This window comes from Homo sapiens, chromosome 7, assembly GCF_000001405.40.
Source record: "Homo sapiens chromosome 7, GRCh38.p14 Primary Assembly".
Lineage (NCBI taxonomy): Eukaryota > Metazoa > Chordata > Mammalia > Primates > Hominidae > Homo > Homo sapiens.
The window spans coordinates 138,310,483-138,321,565 of record NC_000007.14 but is presented as its reverse complement, the minus strand read 5'-3'; the positions used below and the strand labels follow the sequence as shown (position 1 = coordinate 138,321,565).

Below are 11,083 nucleotides of genomic sequence, written 5' to 3'. Positions count from 1 at the left end.
CAAATACAACAGATTAGTTGAATCCAAACAACTAATTAGCAACCTTGGTGGAAGCTGCAGACAAACCTTAGCTGGTCTTTTTTTCTTTTTCTTTCTTTTTTTTTTTAACAAAGTTTCACTCTATTGTCCAGGTTGGAGTGCAGTGGCACCAACTCAGCTCACTGCAACCTCTGCCTCCCAGGTTCAAGCGATCCTCCTGGCTTAGCCTCCCAAGTAGCTGGGACTACAGGCATGCACCACCATGTCTGGCTAGTTTTTGTATTTTTAGTAGAGATGGTGTTTCACTGTGTTGGTCAGGCTGGTCTTGAACTCCTGGCCTCAAGTAATGCGCCTGCCTCGGCCTCCCAAAGTGCTGGGATTACAGGCATGAGCCATCACACTCGGCCTGAGCTGGTCTTTCAGTAATTAAGTAAGTGAAGCTGGATCCTGGTGAGAGAGCCAGGTGGGAAGGGCTACCTGGCAGAGTCTTCAACTGACCTGCGCACTGGGAGGAGTGTGCACTAAGAGGAATAGGCACTGGGGTGGAGCCACAGAACTTTGCCACGTGTTTGCAGCAGGGAGGAGCCTGGCCCCTCCTGGGTGGAAGCCGGAATTCAATCTGTGAGGTGAGAAGCCTACACTAGCAGGAACTCTGGCCTTTTGGAGAGTCCCTGTTCCCTGCCCCTCCCCTGCCTTTGTTTGTTTGTTTGTTAACTTTAAGTTCCGGGATACAAGTGCAGAACGTGTAGGTTTGTTACATAGGTATACGCATGCCATGTTAGTTTGCTGCACTTATCAACCCGTCAGCTAGGTTTTAAGCCCTGCATGCATTAGGTATTTGTCCTAATTCTCTCCCTCCCCTTGGCCCCCACCCCCGACAGGCCCCAGTGTGTGTTGTTCCCCTCCCTGCATCCATATGTTCTCATTGTTGAATTCCCACTTATGAGTGAGAACAGGTGGTGGTTGGTTTTATATTCCTGTGTTAATTCGCTGAGGATGATGGCTTGCAGCTTCATCCATATCCCTGCGAAGGACGTGATCTCATTCCTTTGTATGGCTGCACAGTATTCCACAACGTGTATGTACCATGTTTTCTTTATCCAGTCTATCATTGATGGGCATTTGGGTTGGTTCCACGTCTTTGCTATTGTAAATAGTGCTGCAATAAACGTATGTGTGCATGTGTCTTTATAGTAGAATGATTTATATTCCTTTGGATATATACTCAGTAATGGAATTGCTGGGTCAAATGTATTTCTGGTTCTAGATCCTTCAGGAATCGCCACACTGTCTTCCACAATGGTTGAACTAATTTATATTCCCAACAACAGTATAAAAGTATTCTTATTTCTCCACAGCTTCACCAGCATCTATTGTTTCTTGATTTTTTAATAATTGCCATTCTGACTGGGGTGAGGTGGTATCTAATTGTGGTTTTGATTTGCATTTCTCTAATGACTAGTGATGTTGAGCTTTTTTTCATGTTTGTTGACCGCATAAATGTCTTCTTTTGAGAAGTGTCTGTTCATATCCTTTGCCCACTTTTTGATGGGGTTGTTCATTTCCTGTAAATTTGTTTAAGTTCCGTGTAGATTCTGGATATTAGACCTTTGTCAGGTGAGTAGATTGCAAAAATTTTCTCCCATTATGTGGGGTGCCTATTCACTCTGATGATAGTTTCTTTTGCTGTGCAGAAGCTCTTTAATTTAATTAGATCCCATTTGTCAATTTTGGCTTTTTTTTTAATACTTTAAGTTTTAGGGTACATGTGCACAACGTGCAGGTTTGTTACATATGTATACAAGTGCCACGTTGGTTGCTGCACCCATTAACACGTCAGTTAACATTAGGTATATCTCCTAATGCTATCCCTCCCCCCTCCCCCCACCCCACAACAGGCCCCGGTGTGTGATATTCCCCTTCCTGTGTCCATGTGTTCTCATTGTTCAATTCCCACCTATGAGTGAGAACATGCGGTGTTTGGTTTTTTTGTCCTTGTGATAGTTTGCTGAGAATGATGGTTTCCAGCTTCATCCATGTCCCTACAAAGGACATGAACTCATCATTTTTATGGCTGCATAGTATTCCATGGTGTATATGTGCCACATTTTCTTAATCCAGTCTATCATTGTTGGACATTTGGGTTGGTTCCAAGTCTTTGCTATTGTGAATAGTGCCACAGTAAACATATGTGTGCATGTGTCTTTATAGCAGCATGATTTATAACCCTTTGGGTATATACCCAGTAATGGGATGGCTGGGTCAAATGGTATTTCTAGTTCCAGATCCCTGAGGAATCGCCACACTGACTTCCACAATGGTTGAACTAGGTTACAGTCCCACCAACAGTGTAAAAGCATTCCTATTTCTCCACATCCTCTCCAGCACCTGTTGTTTCCTGACTTTTTAATGATTGCCATTCTAACTGGTGTGAGCTGGTATCTCATTGTGGTTTTGATTTGCATTTCTCTCATGGCCAGTGATGATGAGCATCTTCTCATGTGTCTTTTGGCCGCATAAATGTCTTCTTTTGAGAAGTGTCTGTTTATATCCTTCGCCCACTTTTTGATGGGGTTGTTTGTTTTTTTCTTGTAAATTTGTTTGTGTTCATTGTAGATTCTGGATATTAGCCCTTTGTCAGATGAGTAGATTGCAAAAATTTTCTCCCATTGTGTAGGTTGCCTGTTCACTCTGATGGTAGTTTCTTTGGCTGTGCAGAAGCTCTTTAGTTTAATTAGATCCCATTTGTCAATTTCGGCTTTTGTTGCCATTGCTTTTGGTGTTTTAGAGATGAAGTCCTTGCCCATGCCTATTTCCTGAATGGTATTGCCTAGGTTTTCTTCTAGGGTTTTTATGGTTTTAGGTCTAACATTTAAATCTTTAATCCATCTTGAATTAATTTTTGTATAAGGTGTAAGGAAGGGATCCAGTTTCAGCTTTCTACATATGGCTAGCCAGTGTTCCCAGCACCATTTATTAAATAGGGAATCCTTTCCCCATTTCTTGTTTTTCTCAGGTTTGTCAAAGATCAGATAGTTGTAGAATTTTTGGCTTTTGTTGCAATTGCTTTTGGCATTTTCATCATGAAGCCTTTGTCTATGCCTATGTCCTGAATGGTATTGCCTAGGTTTTCTTCTAGGGTTTCTATAGTTTTGGGTTTTACATTTAACTCTTTAATCCATCTTGAGTTAATCTTTGTATAATGTGTAAGGAAGGGGTCCAGTTTTAGTTTCCTGCATATGGCTAGCCAGTTTTCCCAGCACCATTTATTAAATGGGGAATCCTTTCCCCATTGCTTGTTTTTGTCCGGTTTGTTGAAGATCAGATGGTTGTAGGTCTGTGGTCTTATTTCTGAGGTCTCTATTTTGTTCATTGGTCTATATGTCTGTTTTGGTACCAGTACCATGCTGTTTTGGTTACTGTAGCCTCATAGTATAGTTTGAAGTCAGATAGCATGATGTCTCCAGCTTTGTTCTTTTTGCTTAGGATTGTCTTAGCTATATGGGCTCTTTTTTTGGTTCCATATGAAATTTAAAGTGTTTTTTTCTAATTCTGTGAAGAATGTCAATGGTAGTTTAATGAGAATAGCATTGAATCTCTAAATTACTTTGGGCAGTATGACCATTTTCAAGGTATTGATTCTTCCTATCCACAAGGCTGGAATGTTTTTCCATCTGTGTCCTCTCTTATTTCCTTGAGCAGTGGTTTGTAGTTCTCCTTGGAGAGGTCCTTCACGTCCCTTATTATCTGTATTCCTAGGTATCTTATTCTCTTTGTAGCAAATTGTGAATGGGAGTTCATTGATGATTTGGCTCTCTGCTTGTCTACTGTTAGTGTATACGAATGCTTGTGATTTTTGCACATTGATTTTGTATCCTGAGACTTTGCTGAAGTTGCTTATTAGCTTAAGGAGTTTTTGGGATGAGATGATGGGGTTTTCTAAATATAGAATTATGTCATCTGCAAAAAGAGGCAATTTGACTTCCTCTCTTCCTACTTGAATGCGCTTTATTTCTTTCTCTTGTCTGATTGCTCTGGCCAGAACTTCCAAAACTATGTTGAATAGGAGTGGTGAGAGAGGGTTTTTTCCCAATAAATCCCATTATTCTCACCCTTAAAATCATCTGCGAGGCTAATTTTTCATGGCCGTGTGGTAAGGACCTGGCTCTTAGCTGAACTAAGGAAAAAGTCCCACAACACTGGGTTGTGACATTACCCCGTCTAAATGACATGCATTTAAGACTACTGATTCAAAGACTATAGAAAAGGACTCAATACTGCATTCTATATTGTGCAAAAATTTGCCCTAGTGTTTGCAGCTCTGCATCTCATGTTCAATTAAATCCATGATTGATATACATAGTTAGCCAACCAAGAAGTTAACACAAAATCCAACGAAGAAGTTAACACCAAATGTGTCTTATTAGTGTGTGCTGACTTAATACCATGAAGACTTAGAATTAAATACAGAGAGAAGCAAGTAAGTCAAACCAATACAATTAATATTTTGGCATCAAATTTAGAAATAACCTATGCATGTTTATTTGGCATTTTAGAAGGTAACTGGACATATCAGCTGTCCACGTTAAATAACAAAATTCAGAAAATATGATTAATTGTAGAGTTTATTCAAGCACAAACCTTGTGGGATAGCTGCCCTGGAAGTACAGATTCCAAAGAATGGAAGTATGTGTTCAGAAGCATAGATGTCTAGGGTTGTTTATATAGACAAGGGAAGTTTAACGGAATTTCAACATCTTTCTATATAAGGCTTAATGCATAGTTACAATGATCTCATTGGTTGAGGTGATATTTTTCTTTCAGGAAAAGTATATTTAACGTTCCATACTGAAGATGTAATAGTCATGGGGTCTTTTGCGCCATCTGGTCTGAGTTAACAAAACTCAGAACAGAAAAGGAGGAGGTTAATCTATAACAAAGGTCAGTGATTAGGAGAATAGGTCTGGTCTCTTGTCTCTCCTAGTCATTTACAGAACAAGGAGAGAGAGAGTTAATATATAATCTGAGAAACAGAAGTTGCAACTACATGCTACCCAACTCAGATCACAGTCCCATCTCTTTCAAGACTTAAAGCATTTTGAGTTCCAACAACTTTAATGCTTTCTTTATTTCCACACAGCCTTGGGATTATAATTTAAAATGTGTAACTGAGGCCAGGCAGGGTGGCTCATCTCTGTAATCCTAGCACTTTGGGAGGCTGAGGTGGGAGGAATCCTTGAGCCCAGGAGTTCAAGACCAGCTTGGGAAACATAGTGAACCCAGGAGTTTCGAGACCTGCCTGTCTCTATTTTTTTTAAGTGTAATTGAGTAACTTCTGCTCATTATATTGAATGTAATTTAAGATTCACATTCCACACATGTAAAAATTTAACACATTAGATTTATAAATTATAGAAGTGCTTGGGAAAATTGGTTTTTATTAGACAATTGAAATGCTTAAAAAAGAAATTGTAGTATATTGACTTATGGTGATAGTTAAGATTATTACAATATTAATTGCATAAAAAAATCCTTAAGTAATTGTTAAGTTTTTGAATTTATGAATAGCATAAGATTTACAAATTTAATTTATATCTAAGAAAGAACAAAGTTTTCAAATTTTTAACCTTGCTAAAATAAATACTGAATTGTAAAACAAAAGTGACCCCTGAAATAATCTTTTTTTGCATAAAAGTTACCTTCAAGGGCACCAAAAGCTCACATTGACTTTTTATTGAAGATATTATCTTATCTTCTTATAAATCTTCTTGTCAGTTTCTCTAACATGTTGTCAGAAGATTAAGATCCTTTTATTTTATTCCTTTATCTAGAAGCCTGATCTTTAGTTTCCATCAAAAATGTCAATTTCTGGCTGGGTGCAGTGGCTGACACCTGTGATCCCAGCACTTTGGGAGGCCAAGGTGGGCAGATCACTTGAGATCAGGAGTTCGAGACCAGCCTGACCAACGTGGTGATACCCCGTCTCTACTAAAACATACAAAAATTAGCTGGGTGTGGTGGAGCATGCTTGTAGTTCCAGCTACTGGGGAGGCTGAGGCAGGAGAATTGCTTGAACCCGGGAAGCAGAGATTGTAGTGAGCCTGGATCATGCCTCTGCACTCTAGCCTGGATGACAGAGCGAGATTCGGTCTCAAAGAAAAAAAATTTCAATTTCTAGGAGCTTCCAGATAGCTGCACACCTGGAGGTTCTTGGAGGGTGGTGCACCTGGAGATGGCATGGAAGCTTGGAACCTCTTCCCCTCTACTCTGCTCTGTGCACTTCTCCATCTGTTTCCATGTCAATATCCTTTAAAATAAACTTGCAAATGTAAATAAATATTTCCTTGAGTTCTGTGAGCCATTCCAGAAAACTAATGGAGCCCCAGGAGGGGAGCATGGGAATCCCAGTTTATAGCCAGTGAGTGAGAAGCACAGGCCACTATCTGTGCTTGCAACTGGCATTGGAAGTAGGAGGGCGGTCTTGTGGGACTGAGCCCTCACTCCATCTCCAGGTAGAGAGTGTCAGAATTGGACTGAATTGAAGGGCACCCAGCTGGTGTCTACTGCAGAAATGATTGCTTGCTGGTGTGGGGAAAAACCCACATATTTGGTTATAGAAGTCTTCTGTGCTGGTTGTTGGGGTGCAAGAATGGTGAAAAAAACAATGCGTGTTTTTTTAGTTTTTGAGACGATCTCATTCTGTTGCTCAGGCTGGACTGCAGTGCCATGATCACAGCACAGTGCAGCCTCTGGGGCTCAAGTGATCCTCCTGCCTCAGCCTCCCGAGTAGCTGGGACTACAGGCATGTGCCACCATGTCTGGCTAATTGTCTTTAATTTTTAATAAAGAAGTGGTCTTGCTATGTTGTCCAGGCTGGTCTCGGAACTTCTAGGCTCAAGCAATCGTCCCACATTGGCCTCCCAAAGCTTTGGGATTATAGGTGTGAGCCACCATCCCTGGCCTTAGCTTGTTTTTTTTTTTTTTTTGTTTTTCTACTCAGAATTGGTATCAGTAAAGCAGCATTTGCTGGAACAGACCTGGCTCGTGGAAACTTGTGGTTTGGAAAGATAAAGGATAAAAGCGTGGGGGGAGAGGAATATTTGATCTCTGGGTGGTGCCCTAGTCACCCATAGTATGAAACTGCAGCTGCACTGGGTTCAGTAACTAAAGGTCAAATTTACCAGTGGAATTTAGAGATTATGGTAGACCTAACTCCTCAGGAGTTGGCCCATTGGATATGTATGGAAATGCAAAATAATCAGAAGAATGATGAACACACAATCCCTTGGTTGTTATCTGTACTAGCTAAAATGAAAGTAAAAGAAAGTATTGGGTTGGGCCTTGAGGCTGGACAAAAGGTCAGAGGTCGTCTGTCTGATCTCAGGCAACTTAGCCTCAAGGCCACTCTCAAAGGGGAAAATTCTGCCAGGGCAACAGAAGTTATCTCTAAGATTTCTGTTCACCAAGAAGGTAGTCAGTGTGGGGAGAGAGCTGGGTGCAGTGGCTCATGCCTGGAATCCCGGCACTTTAGGAGGCTGAAGCAGGAGGATCACTTGAGCCTGGGAGTTTGAGACCAGACTGGGCAATATAATGAAATTGCTTTTGCAAAATTGTGACTGAGACAGTGAAAGAGATCTAACCGAACTGACTCCACCCTGCTTCTAACCTTTAAGCTGTCCTTGTTCCTTCCTGGGCACAGGCTGAACTAACTTTGAGAGGAACTTAGTTTATAGTTTATAGTTTATTTTTATTTTTTAGTTGGAGGCTCACTCTGTTGCCAAGGCTGGAATGCAGTGGTGTGATCTCGGGTCACTGCAACCTCCGCCTCCCAGGTTCAAGCGACTCTCCTGCCTCAGCCTCCTGAGTAGCTGGGATTACAGGCATGCGCCACCACGCCCGGCTAATTTTTGTATTTTTAGTAGAGACGGGGTTTCACCATGTTGGCCAGGGTGGTCTCAAACTCCTGACCTCAGGTGATCCACCCACTTCCACCTCCCAAAGTGCTGGGCTTATGAGCCACCATGCCCAGTCTATAGTTTATAGTTTAAAACAAAGTTGATAACAGCCCTTTTCCCAAACAAACCTCCTTCTTGCCTGGGGAATAGACTGCCTTTGTAGTACTAACAAATTAGCCACAAGATTAGAAATTATCATTTAGGGGTCATGCAGCTGGGGGCTACAAGGTTCTAACCCTCCCTAAAGTGCTTCTAAGATCAGTGCTTGAGATATTTTACAGACCTGGCACTTGATGGATCAGCTGGCACCACCCAGATCAATAAACTGGCTCATCTGATCTTGTGGTCCCCACCCAGGAACTGACTCAGCACAAGAGAACACCTTCGATTCCTTATGATTTCATCTGCTACCTAACCAATCAGCACTCCCTGGCTCATAGGCTTCCCCCGCCACCACCAAGTTGTCCTTAAAAACTCTGATCCCTGAGGCTGGGCATGGTGGCTCACGCCTGTAATCCCAGCACTTTGGGAGGCCGAGGCAGGCGGATCACGAGGTCAGGAGGTCGAGACCATCCTGGCTAACACGGTCAAACCCCATCTCTACTAAACATACAAAAAAAAATTAGCCGGGCATGGTGGTGGGCACCGGTAGTCCCAACTACTCGGGAGGCTGAGGCAGGAGAATCGCTTGAACCTGGGAGGCAGAGGTTACAGTGAGCTGAGATGGTTCCACAGCACTCCAGCCTGGGCGACAGAGTGAGACTCCATCTCAGAAAAAAAAAAAAATCTCTGATCCCTGAATACTCTGGAAGACTGATTTGAGTAATAATAAAACTCTGGTCTCCCACACAGCCGGCTCTGTGTGAATTATATTTCTCTATTGCTATTCCCTTGTCTTGATAAATCAGCTCTATCTAGGTACTGGGCAAGGTGAACCCATTGGGCAGTTACAATAATGAGACCTGGTCTCTACAAAAAATAAAAAATTAGCCAAGTGTGGTGGTGCATGCCTGTAGTCCCAGCTACTCAGTAGGCTGAGGTGTAAGGATTGCTTGAGCCTGGGAGGTTGAGGCTGCAGAAAGCTGTGACTGAGCCATTGAATGCCAGTGAGGACTAAGCTCTGTTTTTTTCTTACCTTGCCCAAATTCCTATCTAAGGAGTCTGGAAAGTCATGCCCTACAAATCAAATTCTCATCAGATGAGTTTTATTTAAGCCTATATATCATGACTTACTTTCCAATGACTCTGGCATAACATTACGTGACAAAGAAGAAAATCAAACTATTTTACCCTAAAACATGTTCCTTCGCCATATGTATTTGAGATGGAGTCTTGCTCTGTCCCTCAGGCTGGAGGGCAGTGGCATGATCTTGGCTCTCTGCAACCTCCATCTCCTGCGTTCAAGTGATTGTCCTACCTCAGCCTCCCGAGTATCTGGGATTACAGGCATGTGCCATGATGCCTGGCTAATTTTTGTATTTTTAGTACAAAAATACATGTTGGCCATGACTCTCTCATTTCTCTCTCTCTCTCTTTCCTTGGTTACTTACAAGATTGGGTCAAAACACAGGTGTTAATACAACACTATAAAAGGCTGGGTGGACCAAAGGGAGCCCCTCTTAATAATTAAGGGGTTCCAAATAGGTTTGCTGTATTTACCTCAATCTGGAGAAATTGAGAGTCTGAAGGCAGAGATTACAATGAGAAATTTGATCTGATATTGTCTAGGGCACTAGTTAGGAAAATTAATTAAGATAAAGATTGATAAAAGGGCTCAAGGAGACACAAAGTCTTCTGCATGAGAGAGGGTAAAATGGCCCAGGGACAGAGAAGTTCCTGAGATTAGAACACAAAATGAGAGTGTTGACAGGATTTTTCTTTAATTTGTCTAGGGGAACATTCCTTTAACTAGTATCATAAAGCCAAAACCTGTTGATAATATCCACTGGGAACCACAGTTAGGAAAGTAAGGGTTGATGGATTTAAGATAAAAGTTCATAGGGGAGTAGTTATATTTGAATACACTTCATGTGAAGTGGATGCCTCTCTTTTACCTGATTGTGTTATGGGGATGGACATTGTATCTAACTGGGAAGTGTCTTGTACTTCCCTCATTGGTTTCTTTCTTTTTTTTTTTTTTTTTTTGAGACGAAGTCTTGCTCTGTCACCCAGGCTGGAGTGCAGCGGCGTGATCTCGGCTCACTGCAATCTCCACTTCCTGGGTTCAAGCAATTCTCCTGCCTCAGCCTCCTGAGTAGCTGGGACTACAGGCACGTGCCACCATGCCTGGCTAATTTTTGTATTTTGAGTAAAGACTGGGTTTTGCCATGTTGGCCAGGCTGGTCTCAAAACTCCTGACCTCAGGTGATCTGCCCACTTCAGCTTCCCAAAGTGCTGGAATTACAGGCATGAGCCACCGCAAGAGGCCCACTGGTTTCTTATAAAAGCATTTGCATTCAGCTGTAAAAATGGCAACCCTCTTTTGGGCCCCCTCTAACAGCAGAGAGGTTTCTTCTTACGGTTATTAAACTTTTGCTCTAATCTCACCCTTGGTGTCCACGCTCCTTACTTTTCATGGTTGTGAGACAAAGAACTTCCAGCCATACCTCAAACAACGAGAGACTGCTACATTGTAGTGCATTGGTGAGACTGTAACACTAATGGGAACCCCAGTAAGAGTGCCTAGGCCTACACAATGCAGAGTAGAAGCTGGAGTGCTGGTTGGGCAAATTCTCCATTTAGTATCCTGTGTGGAACATTTACTGGGTCTTACGGAAAAAGTCTATGAGTGCCTTCCAATAATAACTATTGGTGCTTTAGACTAGAGAATTTCCACGGGTGTGCCCTTACTTCCTTGTTATGTGACATTAATTGGAGCTTCCCCTGCCGCTGAAGGACATAAAATGACCTTGAAACCTGAAATACCTATAATGTCTAGGATGTCAGAGAAACACTCTAATGGGATGACAGTGCCCAGAAGGCCTCCATAATAAAAACGAGTGTTTTATATGAGATCATGTTATCTAGTGAGTGCAGGTAAGAAACACTCATGATCAGGGAGCCTCTTTCCCCTAGGACTAACTCTGGAACTGTGGGACTGGGTGAGGAGCTGCTGGATTCTACAATGCCTAATAAATAGCTCTTAACCG

General features: G+C 42.1%; 1 annotated feature.

Annotated features, from left to right (window-relative positions):
* Nucleotides 448-742: an enhancer, noted in NCBI's record as "tiled region #8802; HepG2 Activating non-DNase unmatched - State 23:Low, and K562 Activating non-DNase unmatched - State 3:PromF". NCBI's record gives its function as "activates a minimal TATA promoter and a strong SV40 promoter by Sharpr-MPRA in HepG2 and K562 cells {active_cell/tissue: HepG2 | K562}" and the evidence as "EXISTENCE:reporter gene assay evidence [ECO:0000049][PMID:27701403]".